Here is a 25,009-nt window from a genome sequence, read left to right on the forward strand (position 1 = left end):
TAAAACTACAATGAGATATCGCTTCACACCTGTTAGAATGGCTGTTATCAAAAAGATGAAATATAAAAGTGTTGGCAAGAGTGTCAAGAAAAGGAACCCTTGTACACTGCTGGTGGGAATGTAAATTATTACAGCCATTATGGAAAACAGAACAGAAATTCCTCAAAAAATTAAAAATAGAATTACTATAAGATCCAGGAATCCCATCACTGGCTATATATCCAAAGGAAATGAAATCAGTATATCAGAGAGATATCCACACTCCTGTGTTTATTGCAGCACTGTTCACAATTGCCAAAATATGGAATCAACCTGCCTATCAACAGATGAATGGATAAAGAAAATGTGGTATATGTACACAGTGGAATTACTATTCAGTCTTAAAAAAAAGAAGGAAATCCTGTCATTTGTGACAAAGTCAATAAACCTGGAGGACATTATGTTACGTGAAATAATCCAGGCACAGAAAGAAAAACACCATGCAATCTCACCATAAATAAATAAGTATGTGAGGTAAGTAATGCATATGGTAATTAGTTTGATTTAGCCATACCACAGTGTATTCATGTGGTGCACCATAAATACACACCATGCTTAATGGTTAATTAAAATGTAATTGATTTTTTTTAAAAGAATGAATGGTAGATCATTCATGGCTCACCTATCCATTGGCACAGTGTGTGTCAGGCACTGATGGGTATACAATAGACAACAAGATAGATGTGGTCCTGCCCCTCGGAGGCTGGCATGCTATTGGAAGAAACAAACATTTTTTAAGTAAATAAAATAGTCACAAACTGTGAAAAATGCTAACGAGGAGACAAACAAAATTGGCCTGGAGAGCCCTGGCTTGTATGGACGTGTCAGAGATGTCCTGCAGAGAGCCAGGGGAAGGACCTTCCAGGGAGAGGGAACTGCAGGAGCTGAGTCCTCTAGGCAGGAAAGCCACTGCCTCTTGAAGGGTCAGAAGAAAGAGGAGAGTCGCTGTTGCAGAGTGAAGGAGGGAGAGAAGCTGGGAAGGGGGAGCCTGTAGAGCTCAGCAGGCCCCTCCTGGAGAGCTGGACTTTATCCCCAGTGCACTGGAAGGCAGTGGAAGGTTTTAAGCAGGGGCATAACATGGTTCTATTTATGTTTTAAACTCACCCTGACCTTGTGTAAGAGACTGGTTTGGATGAGGAGAATGAAAGCAGGAAGACCAGCTAGCAGGCTGTGGCAGTAACTGGATATCTCAGAGATGGATGCTGGTCTTTGAGACCCAGGTGGGGCAGCAGAGGTGGAAAGAAGTGGATGGATTTGGGATTTCATTGGCAAAACCAACAGCTAATGGAATGGATATGGGCATGAGAAAAGGTTCTGGCCTTAGTACCTGGGTGGACAGTGGTGCTGTTTACTGAGATGGGATGACTGAGGGACAAGTTTAGAGGGAGGGGATAGGTGTGTTAATGAAAAGTTCCATTTGGGACCTGCTAAATTTGAGGGTCTGAGAGCCATCCATAGCTGAGCTCAAGTAGGCAGCTATATGTGTGGAGTCATAGGCATGGTGGAGGGAGAGGGCCAGGTCCCACTGAAGAGGGCAGGATGGGGGGTCAGGTCAAAACCTGGCTCACCACTTACCAGCTCTGTGACTTGGACAGTTTTCTTAAAGTTTCCTCATCTGTGGAGTGGGGCTTCCAGCAGCTCCTACCTACATCAGGACTTGTTGTGATGGTTTGAGTTCATACATAGAAAGAGCTTACATTTCAATAGTGAGAATTCAGTAAATGTCAGCTTCCTGTAATAACAATTATCATCATCTTAGCTACGGTAATTTTCTTGCCATTTGTCTCTTTCTAATTAAAATCAAGTACCTCGATAGCTGGTAAACACATCTCCTGATGTTCTTGCAATTATTCATTTACGAGTCTGTGAGCTCTGTGAACACAGGGTCTGTGTCTCCCACCTTTGTAGCCCCGTAGTGTGGGGCCCAGCATACCGTAGGTGCCCAATAACGTTTATCCAGTCATACGGAATAAAGAATGCATATTTTTCATGCAAAAATGCATATTTGATTGAATCCATCAAGCATGAAGGATATCAGAAGGAACTTAGACAAAAAAGAAGAAACTCCAATGGGTGTCTTTCTGTGACAATAATTTATAGCATCTTTGCTCCCAAGAAAGGAGGTCTTGCTTTCACAAAGGAGCCTCTTCCAGAATTGGATAGTGGTATGTGAGAAGAAAGATTTTCTCTATAGTGAGTCAAATCTGATACCTCCCTGAGATTTGCACACACACAACCCCAATCAAGGGTGCAGACTTTTCACCACGATACACCCAGACCCGTGCGCACCTCTCCCGGAAGCCTCTGTGATGTGTGCTCTGTGACCTTGCTCTCTTACTCTGGCCCGCCTCCCTCTGTCATGTTCATTTTGCCTGAATCTCCTTCCTTACCCATTGTTTAGGGATCATTGGTCCCTTGGATGAAGCCCACAGCTGCAGCAAGGGGTCCCCCCTCCTCCCCTGGAGATAGATGCTGTGTTTACATTCTGGAAGGATCCATGGTTTCCCCTTGTGTTCTTTCAGGGCCCCTAGTCTCTGGCCTCTCCCAGATAAAAGTCAAGACACCCAGTTAAATTTCAGTTTCAGATAAACAATGGATAATGTTTTTAGTATAAGTGTGTCCCATGAAATATTTCTCAAGTATTTTTATTTGCTAAATCTGGTAACCCTAGCTGTAGGAGAGCCATGTTCAAGGCCCCCATGAGGTGTGCCAAGAAGTTCTATGGCTCAGCCACGTTCTGTGCCCTAGAAGCTCAGGTCTCGGATGCTGATGCCATAGACTGAAGTCAGGCTCCGGTCCTCCAGCCAGCTCTCCCCCACTGCCGGGGTAGCCCTCTGTCTTCCCTGGGGAGCCTTCCAACAGCGTTGGGGTGTTCTTGACTTTCCCACCTGCCATGAAAAGGCCTTAATCCTGGAGTCCAGATTCTGATCAACTCTGGGCCCCTAAGTACCTTTTATTGTCCCTCCCAGGGCTCTCCTGCAAATAGGCCCTTGGAGGCCTGGCCTGACGTTTAGGTCCTGAGACAGGTGTGCAGATCAGACCCCTCATGGCAACACCAGGCTTCTGGCTCCAGTCCTTGGAGTCCGTCTGCGTCCCAGCAGCTCCCCCTGGTGGCCAGAAGCAAACGCTTCATGTCTTGCATCTAGAGCCAAAGCATCTCCTACCCCTGGATTCCCATTCCGGAATAGTTTTCAGACCAAGGCTCCTCCGCAAATATGAGTGATGTGTCAGATGAGTGATGAGGGACAGGCCAGGGGCACACACGTCGCATCCACTTCTTGGGGCTCTTGTGGTCGTTCACTCCTCAGCTACTGAGGAGTCTCAGCGCCATAAACCTGGGACAATGGCCCCCTCTCGTTCCTCACAAATTTCACCCTTACTTCCACCACAAAGTGGGTTCATTAGAGGCAGGAACAGAACCAGGAATCTCGAACACCTGGCTCCTCCCCTTAGTTCCCGCCCTCGGAGTCAGCAAGCAGGGGGAGTGTGAGGGGCCTGGGACAGCTCTGACTCTGGCTGACACACCTGCCTCTGGGCAAGGGTGGTGCATATCTGAGGCGGACAGGCACACATGGAGAAGTCAGAGTCCACGCCCTCTGCTCCATCCCAGTAGCCACCGTCTCAACTCAGCCCCTCGTCACTTCACACTTTGGCAGTGGTTTCTGTCCACTCAGCTGGTTCAGTTGGCTCTATCACATCTCCCGGCCTCTAGGGTTGGCTCAGGCCCACCCTCCGTCCTCTCATAGGGCTGGCCATCCAACCATATCACTCCTCTCACGGCTTTTAAGGATAAAGTTTGAAGCCTTAAGGACTACGTCACAGGTCCTCTAGGCCCTGCTTACCTCAGCTTCTGCCTAGAAGTTTATGCCCCAGAAACAGTGAAACCTCCATGTTTACCCTCACACAACCTGTGTGTCTCAACACCATACTTTTGCTCATACTGGCCCTGCTCAAAGCTTTTCTGCTCTCTCATCTCCTATCTTCTGAGTTAAGACACAAGCCAGGTGCAGTTGCTCATGCTTGTAATTCCAGCACTTTGAAAGGCCAAGGCGGGAGAATTGCTTGAGGCCAGGAGTTCGAGAGCAGCCTGGGCAACATAACAAGACCCTGTCTTTACAAAAATTTTTTTTGATGAGCTGGGTGTGGTGGTGCATCCCCGTAGTCTCAGCTACTGGGGTAAGTAAGGCAGGAAGATCACTTGAGCCCAGGAGTCTGAGGCTGCAGTGAGCTATGATTGCACCACTGCATTCTAGCCTGGGCGACAGAGCAAGACCCTGCCTCAAAAATTTAAAATAAAATAAAATAAATAAAATAAAATAAAATAAAATAAAATAAAATAAAATAAAATAAAATAAATAAAATAAAATATAAAATAAAATATAAAATAAAATAAAATAAAATAAAATAAAATAAAATAAAATAAAGACACAGATAGCCCAGTGGTCATCTCCCCCACGAAGGCTTGCTGGATCTGCTAGTCTCTGCCTGGCGGCTTCCTTGCACTCCTGCAGCGCCTGTGTTCTGTAACAGTGCGTGCCTCTGACCCCTCAATCCTTGCATTTGCCACATTGAATTATAACAACCCATGGCTGTGTCCTCTCCCTTTCCAGGCAGTGGGGCCCCAAGGCAGGGATGGTGACATGTTTACTTTGTGTTTTCAGCACCTAGAAGAGAGCTTAGCACAAACAGGTATTCAATAAATGCTTAGTGCTTTGATTTCATCATTAATTGATTGATCAGTTCATTGTGAGAAGGAAGTAACATCCTTTATAAGCAGAATTTGTAGCACCTTCTTGATTCCATTGATTCTCCTCCCCACCCTTCTCTAACCTCTTTCTTGATGCCCTGGGCTGGCTGGATGACAAATTCCCATGCACCTTGCCATTTATATTCCTGTTTGATCTTGCCGGTTCTCTGTCCTGCGACTGCGACTGTTTCGAATGCAGAGAATCCACCCAGTCTGTGTTCATTCAGCTCCCATTAACCTCTATGTGCTTTGCCCTCTCAGGCCCTGGGATGGAGAGGCTCACCAGACAAGGCCCTTGCTCTCAGAAGTCCCCAGCCTAGAGCAGGCAGTCCGACAAATAAACAGGCAAATAGTTAAGTCCTGTGATTGCAGGACAGGGGGACGGTAGATAAACAGGCCAGCTCTCCACACAGACCACCTGGGTTCAAATCCTAGCTCCACTGCTTTCACACTGTGTAGCCTTGGGCAGGGCCCTTATCTGTGTCTGTTTCCCCATGGGTGAAAGAGAGGTCATAGGATTTACCTCTTGGGTTATGTGGGGATTCAATGAATTAATTCATGCAAAGAGCTTAGCAAGAGTGCCTAGTCCATAGTAAATATTCAATACGTATTAGTCGTTATGTGACTTAGCTCAGTATGCTATGGGAGCACACAGGAGACTAGACAGATTCACAGCAGTCATAAAGGACAAAGGATCAAGAGACATCCGGAGGCCATCATTTTAATTGGAGCCTAGGAACAGGCAATTTACATGAAAAGCAAATGCAATGTCCCAGGGTGCTTCCTGCGGAGTTTGCTCCTGTGCCCCTCTGGGAAGCCGCTGTACCCGCATGATGTCTCTTCCCTTCCTTAGGGCCGACGACTGCTTTTGTGCATCTCGAAAGCTGGATGCGGTGGCCATCGAAGCCAAGTTTAAGCAGGACCTGGGTTTCCGGATGCTGAACTGTGGACGAACAGACCTGGTGAAGCAGGCAGTGTCTCTGCTGGGGCCCGATGGGATCAACACCATGAGCGAACAGGTACAGGGTCCGAGGGTCTGAACAGGCTCCCCACCTCCTCCATGTGCATCACCCCTGGCAAGACAGAGACAGCCGGTGAATCCCCTCTGCAGGCGCTGGGCAGAGGCTCCCCCTACTGACGGCTTAGATTGCTTGCTTGCTTGTGTTTTTCTTCAGTTTTTAAAATATCTTATAAAAATACTGTGGTTCATCTTTATAGAAGTAGCACATGATCATTGCAGCTGAAATGGAAAAGAGAGGAAAAACAGGCCCATTCCAGAAAGGAAATAATGCCATCACCGTGTAACCATCATTTATATTTAGTATCTGTCCTTCAAGTCCTTCTTCCATCGTGGTTAAAATTAGTTCTCTGCTTGTCTGTCTGTTCCTGCACAGGACAAGCCCAGACAGACTTCATCAAACTTTTAGGATATGTTTAAGATACACAAAAGTCATTCTGGGGACCCTAGGAGGCGACTCAGAGATAGGCAGCTATCCCCCCTAACTCCTGAAACTGAGGTACAGTGAGAGACATGTGGGCCCAGCAGTCAGGGAGATACCTTGTGTGGTGAACCGTCATGGACAGAGAAAACAAACAGCAGTTATAAATGCAAGTCTCACATGGAAAGTCACAAGGGACAGATGGGGCTGCTTCTCACATGGCAGCTCATGCAGTGAGTTCCAGAGAGGGAATGACAGGGACTATTTATTTAACTACAGCTATAATAATTTTATTGAGCAACACCAAGGAGCTCTAATACACACACACACAAACACAGACATACATGTATATTTATATTCTTTTTAAAACCCCAGTGATTTATTACACCTTGCCTTTTTCAATATTTTATATTAAAGTTACTTTGCAATATTGTTGAATATTCTTTTTTTTTAAGAGATGAGATCCCATTATGTTGTCCAGGCTGGCCTTGAACTCTTAGGCTCAAGAGATCCTCCTGCCTCAGCCTCCTGAGGAGCTGGGACTACAGGTGTGCACCACCACACCCTGCTTATTTTTATATTTTTTATAGAGACAGGGTCTTGCTACACTGCCCAGGCTTGTCTTGAACTCTTGGCCTCAAGGAATCTTCCCACTTTGGCCTCCCAAAATGCTGGGATTACAGGCATGAGCCACTGGGCCCAGTGTCTTTTTTAAAAATCACTTCTAATGGCTATGCAAAATGGTCATTATTATTTATTCACTGACCAGGCGTCAATTGTTGGAAATTTAGGTTGTTTCAAATTACTTTTATTAATAATGCTAAGCTAAACGTATTTACACGAGTGTTTGTTCAAATCTGTGATTATTTCATTAGGGAAATTTTTAAAATGCAAATAGTGGCTCAAACACACCAGCTTTTCTTAAGGTTCTCAATCTTAAATTACTTTCCCAGAACTTTTGTTTCCTTTTACACACCCTCCAGCTATATGTGTGTTTACTATTACTCTTCTGCTTATCTTTTGCCTGTTTTCCATTAGAGCTTTACTGTTTTTCTTCTTTATTCAGGAGTGCTGTTTACATATTAGGCACATAATCCTTTGTTATAATGTGATAAATATGCCTCAATTCATTGTTTACCTTTTGATTTTGCTTATAATGTTTTCAATTATATGTCCCCAAGGCTGTAATGTTTTTCATTTGTGATTTCTTCCATTCCTTTTATGCCTAGAAATAGATTCACAAACCAGTTAGATATCTTTTATGGTTTTAATTTTTCCTGTATATCTCTAATCAAACTAGAAATGATTTTGATGTGTGGTGTGAGAAAAGTCTCTAATTTGGATGTTTTCCCAAATAACCGACTTTGTGACACTGGTTATTGAAAATCCATCCTTTCCTTCTGTTGGTTGAGATGCTTCGTTTATAGAAGCAAGAGTCATTGGTGCATCTGGTATTCCTGAAGGCCGTTCCTCATTTGCTTGCCTTTTGCTTGCAAATGACCATGTCAAACCAGATGTCAATGATGGGCAACGCCACATGCTCAGAAGCATTCAATTTCCTTGATGCTGACCAGCAGCTTTTATAGAGCAAAGATGACACTGTTATATTGTGAAAGAGAAAATGTCAGATAAATGGTGTTTACCAATGAGATAGCTTAGGGCTGATATTGCAGAATCAATCTAGAAAGTTCCTAAGAGCTTTAAGTGTTTAGCAAACACCCTTAGGTCTGTTGCACCCTAAGACAGACAAACGAACGAAAATCCTCCAAGGCAAGGAAAGATAAATGCTGAAAAGGCCGAGGAGGCTCCTTCGTCGCCTCTATTTTGGTTTCCACATGTGGAGGGTTGTGACCTTACGAGTCACAGGGCTGCACGTTTATTTTTGTCATGCCGGAGCACAAGCATGGCCTCCGAAACACAAGTAAGATTCTCCATTTGTTATTGTCGATTGACCACAGCCACCTTGTAAACGTTTTCCGTTCTCTGGTTTTTAACTCACCACAGGGCATGACTCCCCTGATGTATGCCTGCGTCCGTGGGGACGAGGCGATGGTTCAGATGCTGCTGGATGCCGGAGCTGACCTGAATGTGGAGGTGAGGGTGCAGAGGCCAGCAGGGCCCCTCGGCCGGCAGTCCCCAGGGGAAAGCGAGCAAGAAAGGGGGGCTTTTTCTCCCAAGAGCTGCCACTGAGGGTGCACAGTGCAACAGATAGCTCTTTCCTGTGTCCTTTTAGTTGCTGTGGCCCTGGTGAGACCACCTGACAGATTTTGTCCATCCTGAGGCCCCCAGCCCAACCAAACCCCAAGGAGCTGCCTGCATGTATGTTATGTTTAAAAACAACCAACATAGCTGCAAGGAGCACTGGCTTTTCCTTGGCTCGGCAGTCCTGATTTCCAGAGTTCCTGATTCCCACGGCTGATCAATTTCTTCTAGGATGGGGCAGAAGGAGCACTCCTGAGCCATCAGCCCTCTCTTTCCACTTAACACACAGCAAAGGAGGCACTGGCTCAATCCCTAAGCTGAAGTCTTCCTCCCGCAGATCCTCCACGCTCCCCCTCCAAACCCTCTTTGGCTCACCTTGTTGCCTGAGTTGACAGATCTTAAAGCTAATCTCAGAGCTTCCCTGAGACAATGTGGTCTGGTGGAAAGCATGTCCCCCCAGAAACCCTCCCCTCCCCCTTGCAACATTGGCCTTAGAATCTGACAGATTTGGGTTCAAGTTCTGATACCACCGCTGCCATGGTGACTTGCTTTTGTGCTTGGGCAAGTGCCTTAACCTTTTTTCTCTCCCAATCTGCAGAACGGGAAAATAATTGCACCCATCTCATATAGTTGTCAGAAGGGATATAGAGAGTAGGTTTGGAACTCAGTTAATATTGGTCCCTCCACCCACACCCCAACCTCGTCATAGGTGAAATATCACTTTTTTACCATGTTCTATGCTGCCTGAAGACCTGCTCTCCCTGGCGGCAGGATATTGGCAGTATCAGACAGCAAAGAGATTGACGGGCTGAAATCATAACTCGGCAACCCTGGGAAACCTTTTCAGTTCAAAATTAGATGCCCGTGCAGTCTCAGTACTGTGTGTGTGTGTTTTTTTAATGTGAGTTTTATATTTATCTGAGGAAAGCAGACAATAGACACAGTTTTGGATCCAGAATCATTTTGGATCCTATAAATTTGGAATCTGTGGGGATTTTCCCTCCTGCTATGAATCCTTAAGCACCATGCAGACCCACGCAAGGGGTCCTCAGCATTGGGTTCTGGAGCATTCTCGGGTCCTCTCTAGCCCATCCCACGGATCTCAGCTCAGGCCTTCCTCCAGTGGATGCTTAGTGAACCAAACTGCTCTGAGTGAAGCAGGCATTGAGGTTACATGACCCCAGGAGTGTTTGGGAGAAAAGCTCCATGTGGGTGCTGATCTTGCAAGACCCTGGCCTTCAGCTGCCCTGTCTCTTCTCTCTTGGCCTGGAGTGTTTTTAGGCCTCCATCCTGAAAGACCAATCTCAGATTGTTCATTCATGATGCGTCCTGGGAAAGCTTTGTGCCCATATTTCGGTAGTGCAAGAGGGTCCTTGTCAACCAGGAAGCCAGCAGAAGAGTGAAATGAGAACAGGGTGGGGCCAGCTGTGATCAGATGGTGAAATTCCTCCATCAGATGAGTGATGGACTTCCCTGGCTTGAAAGCTGAAAGCAGACAGTCCCTTGCCTGGGGTTTGCCACCACTGAGAATCTCTCTTAAAAGTGTGGATGGCATGGTAGTGGCATCTCATGCTCTCTGACATCCTGTAGCTCCCAGAACCACCACCCTCTGCTAGGTAGAAGGAAGAAGGGGACAGGCCAGAAAGCTAGCTCATTGTAACTGCCATTACAGCTTCTTCAAAGCACCTGAGAGGCGATCAGAATCATCCATTACTTCCTTTCAGAGGAGAAGTGAAGGAGTCCTTCTTATGCACAAAGGACATAAAGTCACTGAGACATTTTCTCACTGCCTTCAAGGGTAAAATCTCCAAAACACGGACTTCCATTGTCCTGCCTTTGGGGGATTGCTTTGGTCTCTGTTCTTACAAACACAAGCAGGACAGATCCACGGCTTTGGTGAGAGGTGTTTGGAGCATCCAGCAGTGGAAAATCCCTGCCCTGTATCACCAGCTCTTCCCGAGGCATCTTCCAGGATGTCTTTTTGTCCATCTCTAGCCCATGTGCCCAGCCACAGATACGTCAAATTTGCTAGCCTAAGTATTGTGAAGGTCACATTTTGAAAATAACTTCAATTTGTTTATAGGTTGTCAGTACTCCTCATAAATATCCATCCGTCCACCCCGAGACCCGCCATTGGACGGCTCTGACTTTTGCTGTGTTGCATGGACATATTCCTGTAGTTCAGGTATTAACGTATTTCCCTATCCACATCTGACTTTTGATTTTACCTCTTCCATAACACACATCTATACCTCTCCCAGCATGCATATTCTCTAAGACATTCATATTGGTTAACTGCAATTCAATATAGTATATTCATATCATGTGAATACAAATATTATATGTAATGATCTATATGGCCAGGCTTTAACCAATATGAAATGATCACATATCCACACACAGCCTCACACACAGAGTGACAGACCCATGAAGTTCTTCCTGGTTGCTCTGGGGTGGGGCTTCAGCTATTTTTGTGGATTTGTTCATTTTGCTTGTCGCAACATGAACATGAGATTTGGTTGCTATTGATACCTTAGAACCTTCCCTTAGGTGTGACCCCTGGTGTTTGTGTAGAATCCATTGGTTTCCAGCCAGTGGGAAGAAGCATCCAAGACATCAAGGGAGTGTTTCCAAAAGACACTTGCTTGGATCCCACTTCTTGAGAATCAGGTCCAGGAGGTCTAGAGTAGGGCCTTGGCCATGTGTCTTCTGAAACAGCTCCAAGCACAGTGACATGTCCTCATTGGAGGTCCTTTGGGCATATAAATATGTATTGCTTGTACTTTTTCTGGCTGTTGTAGAGTTGGTGTTCAGTGAACAGCCATACGGTACATTCTAAATCATAAGCTTGATCTTTACTTCATCAGAAAAGAGAGATCAGCATCCAAGTTCATGACTGCACCTGGTCCTGTAGTGAGTGCTGAGGTTGGGCACATCAGGAACTCACCTCCTTTTGTGTGGTCCATGCCTCTTGATTCCATGCAGAGCAGGGACAGCTCTGCAATGCTGGAATTTCATGGGAATCCTTTGTTGTTTCCTGGGTCATGAGAATCCTTAGAACAGATCCCAAGTCATGTTTCAGGAGGCTCACAGTGTGACATGTCACACTGAGAGCTGGCTTCTGCCTATAGAACAGTATGCCCAGTCCACTCCTGGTAGAGGAAACTAAGAAAGAAGGGGTCGGTTGGTGGTCTGGTGGACACAGATGTCATTCCTTAACATGCAAGGACATTCCCGACCTTTAAATCAGGAATGGGAACAGTAAGCAGCCAAGCAAAGCCACACAGAAGTCAGGCAACCACCCTGCCGCAGGGCCAGCGATCACGGAGTGCCAAGTAGGTGGCTCCCCCATGGCCGTGCCCTCAGGGAGCCCTAGGTAGGCAGTAAAGATAGCAGATTTTTCCCCCATTTTCCATCAGCAGTGCTGACAGCACATTCACTGTGAATGAGACCAGGCATGGACAGCATCCCTACCTCTTTAGGAAGCCCAGCTATCTCAGGGGATGCACAGAATGAAGTCTTATGAAGCAAAACTTCTGGAAGCTCACTCTGCCACTTTATTAACTGATCTTGCTGTCCAGAAACCTTAGCATTTGCTAAACTGTCCTCAGGGCCATCCAGGTGGGGCCCCGGGAGACCCCCAAAGTCCTTCAGAACTCTTGAGAGTCTGTGGTTCTACGAGGCTACCCTAGTGCCCTCTGAGGCTTTGTGTAACCAGCCCAGGAGGGGAGTCTTCCAGCATTCCTGTGCCAAGAACCTTTAGCCCAGTGCTTCTAGAAATGTTTATATATGTATACATCTCCTGGAGATCTTGTTAAAATGCAGACTCTCATTCAGTAGACCTGGGTGGGGCCTGAGAGTCACCATTTCCCACAAGCTCCCAGGTGGTGCTGATGCTGTTATGCATGGAACACATTCCGAGTAGCCTAGCAGCAATGAGAGACTCTCAGTTCATCCTCCAGGGTACAGTTGCCCTCCAGCCTGTGCACGCTGTCACCAACCTAGAGGGAGGGAAGGAGTGCTGGCATCTCACCCATCCCAGCAGTCTTTCCTGACACCTGTGCACAGTGTATCTCCTCTCACCGTCTCAATGGCCGCTCTTCCTCTGCAGCTCCTCCTGGATGCTGGGGCCAAGGTGGAAGGCTCAGTGGAGCATGGCGAGGAGAACTACTCGGAAACACCCCTCCAGCTGGCAGCTGCTGTAGGTAAGAGCTGCTGGTTCTCACCCTGGCCAGGGAGCTCCAGTGCACCCTGGCCCTTGAAGTGCCTGTGACTATATTTTTGCTTTATTCTCTTATAAAACCCCCTTCTCTGGGCTTGCAGGAAATTTTGAGCTGGTTAGTTTGCTGTTGGAGCGTGGTGCCGATCCCCTGATAGGAACCATGTACAGGAATGGAATTTCTACAACCCCCCAGGGTGATATGAACTCTTTCAGCCAGGCTGCAGCCCACGGACACAGGTAGGCTAGGATGGGCCAAAGCCAGAGGTCCCGAGTGGTGTTTGTTAAAAATGCAGATTCCCAGGCCTACCCCAGACCCATTGTCTCTCTGGATGTGGGGCCCAGAGGCAGTGTGAAGTGGTCCAGGCCCCAGGTCTGGCCAGAGCGACCCTACCTGCCAGCTGACAGCCAACTCCATGCAGTGCACATCCACTCAGAATGCTTTATTTTACCTGCTCCTGGCCAGCTTTAAACTCACAGAGAGACATCACTCTTGGTCGGTTTTGCTCAGGGCACGTCATGTCAGCTGTCATGAAGTAAGAAAAATCCATTTAAAAAATAATAAAACCTTTCATATTTGGTGACTTCCCTTCTACATCTCCTTCTGAATTTCCCCTCTGATCATCAGCTTTTATTACACATAACCCCAAGCAGAGCACATTCACTTTGGAGAGAGGGCAGGCTGACGGTGACAAGTGCAGAGTTCTAGAGCCTTCTAGATTTTTGAGGAAATCACTTAGCTCCAAGTTGCCTCAAGGAAACAAGGCCAGTCATGCCCCATCATCTCCTCCATCCCCAAAATGTGGCACCCACTGTTAGGCCTCTGAAAGTGCCACCCATTGATCTTGTCATCACCCCTCCCAAGCTAGTGGTCCCCTGCTTCCCCAGCCTGCCCCTGCCCTGCCCCAGCAGATCCACTTCCATCTCTGAGTGTCATCCTCTCTGGGTTTATGATTGACAGGAATGTGTTCCGCAAACTGCTCGCCCAGCCAGAGAAGGAGAAGAGTGATATCCTGTCCCTGGAGGAGATTCTGGCCGAGGGGACTGACCTGGCGGAGACAGCCCCGCCCCCCTTGTGCGCCAGCCGCAACAGCAAGGCCAAACTGAGGGCCCTGAGGGAGGCCATGTATCACAGCGCTGAGCATGGCTACGTGGATGTCACAATTGATATCAGGAGCATAGGTCAGTCTGGGCACCCTCCACCACGGGCACCATGGTGCCCCCAGCTTTAGGTCCACACACACATGAACACGCACATGCGCGCACACATACACATGCAAAACACGCACATGCACACACACGTGCACACACACACAAGGGGACCCAGGGAGCTTCCCCTTTACCAGTTGAAACACTTCCAGGCCAAGATGCCCACTCCGTGCCCATAGATAGCAGCATCCTGCCTGCCCCAAAGACCCATCCTCAGACCATCTTTCCATGATTCCCAAACACTGAACCCTGGGGCAGGAATTCAAATCACCTGGGGAGCTTGTCTGAATACCAGTTGCCAGGCCCTACACCCAGAGGCTCTGCTGTCGAGGGTCTGGATGGATAAAGGCTGGAAATCTTTATATTTAACAATCATCCCAGGTGGTTCCCAGTGGTTGAGGAATCACTGCCTTTAGAGCACCCAACTCCACGAAGCAGTGCTGGGCAGTTGTTAGGGTGAGGGCGCCCCTTTCTTACCACAACTCCTGTTGAGCTTCAGAGGGCAAAGCCACTCTCAGGAAGGTTGGGCTGGCTCTTCCTTGGGTAAGCTAGCCCAGAGCCATCTCCTCCATGTGTCTGGGGAACAAGGCTAGCCTAGCCTTCACCAGCGTAGTGGCTTTCGCTCTGCCATGGAAGTGGCCAGACCTAGCCATGGGTCCCTAAACACAGGGTGTGGCAGATTAAGGCAGGCTGAGGACTGAGGAGAAGCCTCCTAATGCTGTTCTGGAAATGACCTCTCTCCAGGGAAGGTGGGGAGGGGTTAGTCTGTGGAACGTTTGTGCCATTGCCCTGGGAGCCTATTTTGCATGATGATGAAGCTCGAGATTCCGAATGGGCTACTTGTTATAAACAGTAGCAAGACACGTCCTCCTCTGTCTGTGCCTCTGCATGAGAGGCGAGAGGCAAATTACAGCAGTCAGCTGCTGAAGAGGTCCCTGTTAAAGGAGGAAGACCTGATGAAGTACCTGCAGATGGAAATGTTGTTTTGCACAGAGGAGCAGCAGGAATATCCTCCCATGTCTTCTTATTCGGGTATAAATATCTGTCTTAGCCAGAGCTGTAAATGGTGAAGTCCACCAATGGGTTTCACCAACTCTAAGCTCTCATCTGGGCACGGATGTGTTCCAGATCCTTGGGCACATCCACTCTTTAATCCTGGGCAAGACTCTTCTCCCCCCTGAGCTTCTTTCCCCAGTAAGTAGAGGGGATGGAGCCTATGCACTCAGAATCCCGAAGTATGGAATATGCATAAGTAGCGTGCGTAATAATTCCAATATGCTACACGATGATTACATCTTGTGAAATGCAGCCTCTAATAATATGAGCAGCATACAGAGATGGACACCCATAGCTGAGGGAATTGAATTATGACCTTTAATTTCAACTTTTGCAGGTCTTGGGGAAAAGCCTACACTGGTTCTGTTCGTTGAAAGTCAATCCCTTGGTCTCGTCATTTAGTAATGTCCTGGGGAAAAGCCAACTTCCAGATAAAAACTCGCCTGCTCCTCTGGTTGTTTTCCACCTTTCCCCTCTCTCTCCCCCTCCCCTGCCACCTTCCCTGGCTCCTCTCCCCGCTCCAGGCGTCCCGTGGACTCTGCACACGTGGCTGGAGTCTTTGCGGATCGCCTTCCAGCAGCACCGCAGGCCTCTCATCCAGTGCTTGTTAAAGGAGTTTAAGACCATTCAGGAGGAGGAATACACGGAGGAGCTCGTTACCCAAGGCCTGCCCCTGATGTTTGAGATCCTGAAAGCGAGCAAGGTATGTGGGGTTTGAGGTTGTTGTGGTCATCGGCAGAGAACAAAGCTGGAGGTTCCCAGATCTGAACGGTCTTTTAGCCTGCTGTTCCCCTTTGAGTGGGATCACTACGGTCATAGCGACCAGTGGCGAATGTAGCCCAGCAGACGAAAGCTACCTGTGCACTCATTTGTGGGCAGCTGTCTTGCTGAGCATCCACATGAGCTAAGGCACTTGGGCACATGGACTGCTTAGATATCTTCTAACTCAAGGAACTTGCAGAAGAGCTGGAGAGATGATACCAACATGTGTGCCCCAACAGCATTATGAAACAGTTGGTACAACAGTATTAAATTTGGGGGTGCAGGCTAGGAGAGGTGTGGGAGTTCAGGAAGGAGGAATGGGAGGGTGGGTACCCTGAGGTGCTGTGACTAGACCACGCGGGGATGGACGATAGGAATCGGTAGGATGAGGGAAATGGTTGCAGCTTTCTGGATAAACAGAACACAGACCCTGCTGAGGTTTCTGAAAAGCCAGGCCCTGGGAGAAGGCTTTTCCGGTCGAGAGGGTCAAATGAACCTAGCTCTGACCCCTTGGGATTCACCCGTGCTGACACCTGTATCCCCAGCAACAGAGAAATGCAGCCTCTTCATAACAGCAGGCCAGCCTTTCGACTATTACAACATTAATTCTTAAAAATATCTTTGGGGTTTTTTGGTGATGCTCTCTAGACACTCCAGTCCCTGCAGGGCCCCAGCACCAGCCCTCTCACCTCTTTGCCCCAGAACAGCCTTTGTGGAACTCTGGGGTCTACTACGGAGCCTGGGAAGTCTCAGGGGAAATTGGCCTCTGAACCAAAGGGCAGTGTGGGTCCCCCTGCCGGGCTGGGCTGTGTGACTGTCCATGGGGCATTAGAGGGGACATGGGGCTGCTTCCTCCACACAGCAGGGATGGCCCTTCAGTAAGGAGGCAGCAACACAGCATCTCTGCTTTCAGAGCTCTGGGCCTCGGGTGGAAAGCGAGTCCCATTAGGTGTTCTCATTAGCGCCCATCCTTAGCCCGGTGTCCCTGGGCCACCTGCAGGCTAGATTTGTGCTTGAGGTCAAGACCCACCAGGACCCCAAATGGGAGCAGGTGCACCAGGCCTAGGGTAACAAGCTTCGGTGAGTCCGTGAGGAGTAAAACCTGCTGGAAGCATTTCAAAACCAAACTCCCCACCTGACTTAAAAATAAGTAGCTGAATAAAGAGACTTTCACCTGAAATCACCTAAGAAACTGTCTTAGTGAGAAACATTCCCAGGGTCTGGGTTCTATCGTTTTGAGGTTTTGTTTGTTTGTTGTTTTTAACTTTTCTTCAGCCTATACTGGGAATTCCAGAATTTATTGAGACATTCTGTGTATTAAGTAAAACTAACCTGTGCGTTCTTAAAGTAAACTTTACTTTGAGGTATGACATACGTACAGAAAAGTGCCCAGCTCATAACTACGATGCCAAATGGATTTTCATAAGATAGACAAACTGTGCAATCCTCATCCAGACTGAGAAATGGAACACGACTAGCACCCAAGTGGTCCCCTTACACCCTACTCCACTGCTATCCTCCAAAGGGCCGCCACTCTCCCGACATCTAACACCACACTTTGTTTTGCCTGGAGCCACAATGTTTGACTTGGACAGCTCATTAGATAGGAAATAGTTCTCAGAACCTGAGCCCATGATTATAAGAATCTACAGGCTGAAGCATACAAAATACCCTCCATTCACAGAAGTGGTGGGTGCTCCCATCGTTTAATAGTCAGTCATTTGAAAATCAGGCTGACTGGGTATGGTGGCTCATGCCTGTAATCCCAGCACTTTGGGAGGCCGAGGTGGGAGGATTGCTTGAGCCCAGGAGTTCGAGATTAGCCTGGGCAACATGATGAAACTCCACCTCTACAAGAAATACAAAAAAATAGCTGGGCGTGGTCGTGTCTCAAGAGCAGGGAGCCAGTGAAGTGTGTTTTGCTTTTACAGGGGGTTCAATGGCATCCCCTACTGGTGAAATGTGGCTTTACACATCACATGCACTGACCACTGGCCGGGGGTGGGAGCGGGTAGGTGGAGGTTAAAAAAGGAGATAATTTCCCCGAGCCTGCAGGGTGAAGTCACCCATTCCCCAAGCATGGGGGATATTCTTGTGGTCAAAAGAAAAACTGGAGGGAGATGATGACAGAGAAATTCCAAGTTGAGAAGACAGTCTCCTGTCGGACAATAGGGCAGCCATCATCACAGAGCTGGCCAGCATTGTTCCTTCTCCCTGCACTTTAGGATTCCTGTTCAAATGTTTGTCCAAACAAGTATCTTTTTTTTTTCTTTTTTAAAACAAGGTCTCGCTCTGTCGCCCAGACTGGAGTGCAGTAGCATGATCTTGGCTCACTGCAACCTCTGCCTCACAGGTTCAAGCCATTCTCGTGTCTCAGCCTCCCAAGTGGCTGGGATTGCAGGCATGCACCACCATGCCTGGCTAATATTTAGTAGAAACAAGGTTTCACCATGTTGGCCAGGGTGATCTCGAACTCCTGACCTCAAGCAATCCTCCCACCTCAGCCTCCCCAGGTGCTGGGATTACAGGTGTGAGCCACTGCTCCTGGCCAAATATCTTGTTTTATCAGAGTAGTGAATAGATTCTTGCAAATAAATCCACTTTATGTTCAACTTATAGAAACAGCTGTCCTGTAAAATGAGGCATATTCGTCCCACCATTATTGGTTTGTGCTCACTCAAACCATACTTGAAATCCGACCACACATCTGCTTCTATGTTCTTGTTTCTAAATTTGGACTTCAAATGAATTCAGTGTCTCTAGACTTCCCCAGGAGCAGAACAATATATTCATTTTTTTGAATACATCTGTTTAAAAAGACTTCCCAGCTTATTTGTCTTTTTTTTTTTTTTTTTAAGATGGAGTCTTGCTCTGTTGCCCAGGCTGGAGTGCAATGGTGCAATCTCGGCTCACTGCAACCTCTGCCTCCCAGGTTCAAGCAATTCTCCTGCCTCAGCCTCCTGAGTAGCTGGGACTATAGGCCCACGCCACCATGCCCTGCTAATTTTTGTATTTTTAGTAGAGGCAGGATTTCACCGTGTTGGCCAGGATGGCCTCAATCTCTTGACCTCGTGATCTGCCCACCTCAGCCTCTCAAAGTGCTGGGATTACAGGTGTGAGCCACCACGCCTGGCCTTTTTTTTTTTTTTTTTTTTTTTTTTGAGATGGAGTCTCACTCCGTCGCCCAGGCTGGAGTGTAGTGGTGTGATCTCAGCTTACTGTAACCTCTGCCTCTCAGGTTCAAGCGATTCTCATGTCTCAGCCTCCCTAGTAGCTGGGATTACAGGCACCCACCGCCATGCCTGGCTAATTTTTATATTTTTGGTAGAGACAGAGTTTTACCATTTTGACCAGGCTGGTCTCGAACTCCTGACCTCAGGTGATCTACTTGCCTCGACCTCCTAAAGTGCTGGGATTACAGGCATGAGCCACCACATCCGGCCTCTAGCTTATTTTTCTAACACATCATTCCCCTGGGCATAATCAAGAGATAATCAGGAGTGCCCACTTGGTTCCAGGCACTACAGTGGTGATGGGACAGACATGTTCTTTATCCTTCTGGAGCTTACTGACCAAAAGCAAGAAAATAAATAAACGAAACAGAGTCAGAGCATGATCAGTGTTTACAAAATGAAATGGGACCATGGTATGGTCTCTGGGGGTGGGGCTGATGAGGTCTAACTTAGACGAAACGGTCAGGAAGTTCTCCCTGAGAAAGTGGCATTTGAAAAACCACCTAAGTGAGGAAAAGCTTCCAGCCATGCAGAGATCTAGGGCAAAAGCATTCCATGTCAGGGAACTGCAGGTGATTAGGCTCCTAGTAGGAACGTGCTTTGTGTGCTCAAAGGAAAAAGTGTAGGAGATAAAAATTAGATTGCACTGGGCCAGGGAAAGTTTGGCTTTTCTTCTATGTGTAATGAATGGGACACAACGAGAGAGGTTTTAGATAGGGGCAAAGTGTGATCGGTGGGGTTTTTTTTTTTTTAAGTTTTCAAGTTTTCATTTTTTGATGAAAAACTCAAAACTTAAAATGTTTCTGTTTTTAAACTTTTTATTTTGAGATAATTGTAGATTCATGAAGTTGTAAAAAATAATACAGAGAGATTCCTGTGTACCATTTACACAGGGGGATCTCAGTTTCTCCCAACGGCAATATCTTGCAAAACTATGGTAAAATATCACAACCAACATAGTGACATGATCGTCAACATGCAGAAAATTCCCATCACCACAAGGATTCCTCATGTTGCCCTTTTATAACCACACCCACTTCCCTCCTGCCTCCACCCTTCAGCCCCTACCTAGCCACCATTTCTCTAATTTTGTCATTTAAAGAACGTGATTTAAATGGAATCATACAGTATGTAATTTTGGAGATTGGACTTTTGGCAGTCATCATAATTCTCTGAAGATCATCCAGGTTGTTGCATGTATCCGCAGCTTGTTCCTTTTCATTGCTGAGTAGTATTCCATGGAATAGATGTACCCCAGTTTGTTTAAGCACCCAACTGTTGAAGGACATCGGAGTTGTTTCCAGTTTTAGGCTATCACAAATAAAGCTGTTACAAACATTTACGCACAGGTTTTTGTGTGAATAGATCTTCATTTCTCTGGTGTAAATGCCTGGGAGTGCAACTGCTTGGTTGTATGGTAGTTGCATGTTTGGTTTTTAAATAAACTGCCAAACTGTTTCCCAGAGTGACTGTACCCTTTTACATTCCCACTGGAAAAGACTGAGTAATTCAGTTGCTCCATACCCTCACTGTTTGGTGTTGTCACTATTTTTCATTTTAGCCATTTTGATAGGTATGTAGTGATATCTCATTGTAGTTTTAATTTGCATTTCCCTAAATGGCTAATGATGTTGAATATATTTTCAAGTGCTTGTCCACTATCTGTGTATTCTCTTCAAGTGAAATGTCTCTTTGTATCTTAAGCCTGTGTTCTAAATGAATTGTTTGCATTTCTACTGTTGAATTTTGAGTGTTCTTTATGTATAGTAGATACTAGTCCTTTGTCAGATATGTGGTTTGCAAATATTTTCTCCCACTCTGTAGCTTGTCTTTTCATCCTGCTATCTTGATGCTGGCATTGATTTATGTTTTTATTCATTCACTTGGAGATCTTCTTGGTCCATGGTATTATGGGTGCTCTTTGATTGAAATCTGGATGTTTTCTGAGGCTCTTGATCTTATTTAGACCTTCTGCTTTAGCTGACCTTCTCTGATACTGCTCTGACAGGGGAAGAGTGGCTGTCACCTCATTACTGTCAGGTGTATGTAGAAATCCAGGTTCCCCTACTTGGCCTCTGTTGGCACCCAAGTTAGGGTCTAGTTATTGGGGGTAGGTGGGGGCAGGTAAGTGCTCTGGCTCCCACGTAGTCTTCTCTGACATGTGGTGGGGTGGCCTCATGACTACTGGGCAGTAGTAAGAGTCTGACTCTCCAGTGGCATCCTCTAACACCACCCCAGCAGGGAGTGGGAGGGATGCCTCATTATTGCTGGGTGAGAAGGGGGTCTCCACTGACACCTGGGTGTCAGGGGGTGGGGGCAATACTCTTTACTGGCTGGTGGGGATAAAAATCCTGGCTCCCTACTTGACCTTCGATGACACCATCTCAGTGTCAGGGGTGCCGTGTTGCAGCCTGGCAAGAGTAGAAGTCTAGCCTTCCCACTTGACTTTTGCTGGCAAGGTGAGTCCACAGGTTTTCTGTGCTGTTCGGCTGGAGTAGAGCAGCTATTGTCTAAAAGTTTCCTGCCTTCTAGGCTATCCCTTTAGTGGTCCTTTGGCTAGATACAGCAGGCTTTTGTTGTGGCTTTTTTCCCCATCTGTGCCCTCAGTTGCAGCTTCTTCAATGTCAAGTATGGGATGATGAGGTGAAAAGGAAGTCCAGTGAACCCACAACTGTGCTGCTCCTCCAGTCCCAAACTCCCTAGGTCGTCTGCCGCCTTCTCTCTACCTTTTAAAGTCTTCTTATGTTTCTTTTATATGTAATGTCCAGAGTTTTTAGTTGCACTTTGCAAAAGGGTTAGGGAAAAGTATGTCTATTACATCTTCCCGAAGCAGAAGTAATCATGTGTTTTTAAAAGATCAATCTGACTGCTGGGTACTATCGTCATCTTTTTTTTTTTTTTTTTTTTGAGATAGAGTCTCACTCTGTCACCCAGGCTAGAGTGTAGTGGTGCGATCTCGGCTCACTGCAAGCTCCACCTCCCAGGTTCACACTATTCTCCTGCCTCAGCATCCAGAGTAGCTGGGACTACAAGCACCCACCAGTATGCCCGGCTAATTTTTTTTTGTATTTTTAATAGAGATGGGGTTTCACTTTGTTAGCCAGGATAGTCTCGATCTCCTGACCTCGTGATCTGCCTGCCTCAGCCTCCCAAAGTGCTGGGATTTATTGTCATCTTCTTAAACCATCTGGGATCTCAGGTACCCTCAAAGAAGTGAGTCTGTTTCCAAAGCCCCCAGTTGGACAGTGACTATCCATGTCACCAAAAGCAAAAACCTCCATGTAAGCAGAAAAAAATAATAAATGGGATCCATAAAGCCTCTAAGGAGTGGTCTAATCTCTTTGTGCCTCTACCTCTCTAATAATTAACCATGAACAAAATGACAACTACCAAATAGACATAGGATCAAATGCCAAAAGTATCAAATAGCTCAAGAAGTCATCTGATTTGGGAGGCCAAGGCAGGTGGATCACTTGAGTCCAGGAGTTTGAGACAAGCCTGGGCAACATCACAAGACCCCATCTCTAAAAATAAAAATTAAAATTAAAATTAATTTAATTCTAAAAACAGAAAGCCAACTGACACGTTCCCAGTTCCACACAAAACTGCAGTCAAACCATCTAAGAGAGGAAAGTCACAGTGTGTATTCAAAACCTTTGAAAATAAGATTTAGTAAAACAGTTTGCTAAAAATTCTTAATTTATAGACCCCAGGGACAAGTTTGTGTGTAGCAACTGATTGGGCCTGTCTTTCTTACCTCCTTGTTTCATTTCTTCACTCCCTCCCCTCTCCTCATTCAGTTCTTCACCATCCCTCTGGCCTCCTTTTTCTCTATGGTCAGGACCTGAGCTTAGGAAGTGACCTGCCCCAGGCACTTAAGCCTGGACACGGATCTAATGAAAATGACCACTGTGTGCCAGGTGCCATTCCAGGCACTTTCTACTCATCAGCTCCTGGGAAGCAGGTAGTTGTATTTTTATTCCTATGTTAGCGATGATAGCCCTGAGGCCCAAGAGTGGGTCACCCTGCAGAGCCAGGATCCTGACCCAGACACAAAACCCATGCTCTTAACTGTGAGGTCACCCTGTCACTCTGCTCCGTTTCAGGGTTTTACCTGCAGTGCACATCTCACTGTGAAATGACAGCTTCATCCCCCTTAAGGGCAGAAGCAGACATAGCCTGCAGCCATGGTGACTTCTTTTGGTGGGAAGATGGTCCCAAGTCAGGTGCAGTCATGGGCCCCTAGCATCTGCATTGGGAGGAACCTTGGAAATCATCTAGCCCAGTGAATATCCCAACCCAGTCATCTGAATCCTGCTATCAGAATCTTTTCCAGACCTGGAAAAAGTACTACTTAAAGAAAGCATGAAATAGGTAAAAATACCATCGATGCAATTTATTATTTACTTGATCTTTTTCTTAAATGTGTTTGAAACATATTACTACCATAAGTGGATACCCTACATCACTTGCTGGGAGTAGAAGGGACACATCAAAGTAGATGTGCGACTGCACAATTAGCAGTAAGATGAGTGCTGCACTCAGGGCCTCAGGATCTTGCTGGGATCCTTCTGGGGCCGGTAGCCCACCCTCCACCTGCCTCCACCTTTCCAGGTGTGCTCACTCCTCATAACGCAGCCTAGCCTGCTCCACAAGGGAGCCATCTGTAGAGGTGGGTCTTTTTTTGGGGGGTGGGGGAGGGAGATGGACTTTCACTCTTGTCACTCAGGCTGGAGTACAGTGGGGCGATCTCCACTCACTGCAACCTCTGCCTTCCAGGTTCAAGCGACTCTCATGCCTCAGCCTCCCGAGTAGCTGAGATTAACAGGTGCCTGCCACCATGCCTGGCTAATTTTTTGTATTTTTAGTAGAGACAGGGTTTTACCATGTTGGTCAGGCTGGTCTTGAACTCCTGACCTCAGGTGATCCACCCGCCTCAGCCTTCTAAAGTGCTGAGACTATAGGCGTGAGCCACCACACCTGGCCAAAGTGAGTTTCTTGACATGGATTAAGATAGAGAGCTTGCTGTCAGTGTCCCTGAAAGTAACAGTAATTCTACTTTCTCTTGATTCTGAGACACAGCTTTTTTCACATTTGAGCATTTCTCCATTTGAAACAGGTCTGAAGATAGATGTGTACATTTAATAAGGAGGGCTTTTTTTTTCTTTTCTTAAAATCTGACATGAATTTTATGACATCTTAAAAAAAGGGATGAGGTTCAACTATGGGAAATTGCTGTTTAGGAGTTAAAAATGGTCAAATAGCAGCACTTTCATTCAACCTAACAGCATATGGTGATACATTCTCTTTTAGCCCTCATAGCAACCTCATCAAGCAAGTATTTTTAATCCTCTTTGGAAAAGAACACCAAGGCCCAGAGAAGCTGAGTAACTTTGCCAAGGTTACAGAGCTAGTGAGTGAAGGGCCAGAACTAGGACCCCCTCCATCTGGTCCCATTGTTTATGTTTTTACCACCACATAGAACTCCAGCCTGAGCCACCTATAAAGGACCTTTGGGAGTAATCCTAGTGCTCCTTTCAGAAGAAAAGGAAGTATTTCCACATCTTTTTAGGAGAAGAGTGGAGTCAAAGGAGAAGAGGAAAGATGTCACCCCCCAAATTCACAGGACTCCATCTCAAGAGAGTTTCCTGGTAACTATGCTATTAAGAATTTTGCAGGGCCAGGCGTGGTGGCTCATGCCTGTAATCCCCGCACTTTGAGAGGCCGAGGCAGGAGGATCTCTTGAGCCCAGGAGTTCAAGACCAGCCTGGACAACATAGTGAGACCTCATCTACACACACACTAACACACACACAATTAGCTGGGCACAGTGGTGCACACCTGTAGTCTCACCTACCTGGGAGGCTGAGGTGGGAAGATCACTTGAGCCCAGGAGGTCAGGGTTGCAGTGAGCTGGGGTTGCACCATTGCACTTCAGCCTGGGCAACAGGGAGAGACCCTGTCTCAAAAAAAAAGAATTTTGCTTCACTCCCCTTTAGTTCTTTTGTATGACCACACAGTTCTGAGTCCAGAGGACCTGAATTTACTCCATGTGCACATCTAGAATTTTCTGTGAGGGACTTGAATGGCAAGTACCCAGCAG

At 46.8% G+C, this 25,009-nt stretch overlaps 1 protein-coding gene across 8 annotated transcripts in view, besides 3 other annotated features; it reads left to right on the top strand.

Moving 5' to 3' along the window:
* The window catches only part of ABTB3 (ankyrin repeat and BTB domain containing 3), a 341,209-nt gene that overhangs the window by 286,117 nt on the left and 30,083 nt on the right, over positions 1–25,009 (top strand). For 6 of the 8 annotated variants that reach the window (NM_001018072.2, XM_047428301.1, XM_011537910.4 and 3 more), the window contains 7 exons: positions 5,640–5,805; positions 8,230–8,319; positions 10,511–10,612; positions 12,539–12,632; positions 12,751–12,886; positions 13,608–13,828; positions 15,436–15,614. In NM_001018072.2, the coding sequence (NP_001018082.1) occupies positions 5,640–5,805; positions 8,230–8,319; positions 10,511–10,612; positions 12,539–12,632; positions 12,751–12,886; positions 13,608–13,828; positions 15,436–15,614 (988 nt within the window). The remainder of the gene's footprint in view (positions 1–5,639; positions 5,806–8,229; positions 8,320–10,510; positions 10,613–12,538; positions 12,633–12,750; positions 12,887–13,607; positions 13,829–15,435; positions 15,615–25,009) is intronic. The other 2 variants (NM_001347943.2, NM_001347944.1) reach the window with 1 other exon arrangement.
* Positions 5,229–5,729: an enhancer, noted in NCBI's record as "OCT4-NANOG-H3K4me1 hESC enhancer chr12:108003556-108004056 (GRCh37/hg19 assembly coordinates)". NCBI's record gives its function as "activates a minimal SCP1, AML or CMV promoter by ChIP-STARR-seq in primed H9 embryonic stem cells {active_cell/tissue: H9 hESC(primed)}" and the evidence as "EXISTENCE:reporter gene assay evidence [ECO:0000049][PMID:30033119]".
* Positions 13,276–13,777: an enhancer, noted in NCBI's record as "H3K4me1 hESC enhancer chr12:108011603-108012104 (GRCh37/hg19 assembly coordinates)". NCBI's record gives its function as "activates a minimal SCP1, AML or CMV promoter by ChIP-STARR-seq in primed H9 embryonic stem cells {active_cell/tissue: H9 hESC(primed)}" and the evidence as "EXISTENCE:reporter gene assay evidence [ECO:0000049][PMID:30033119]".
* Positions 13,778–14,277: an enhancer, noted in NCBI's record as "H3K4me1 hESC enhancer chr12:108012105-108012604 (GRCh37/hg19 assembly coordinates)". NCBI's record gives its function as "activates a minimal SCP1, AML or CMV promoter by ChIP-STARR-seq in primed H9 embryonic stem cells {active_cell/tissue: H9 hESC(primed)}" and the evidence as "EXISTENCE:reporter gene assay evidence [ECO:0000049][PMID:30033119]".

Source organism: Homo sapiens, chromosome 12 (genome assembly GCF_000001405.40).
Source record: "Homo sapiens chromosome 12, GRCh38.p14 Primary Assembly".
Lineage (NCBI taxonomy): Eukaryota > Metazoa > Chordata > Mammalia > Primates > Hominidae > Homo > Homo sapiens.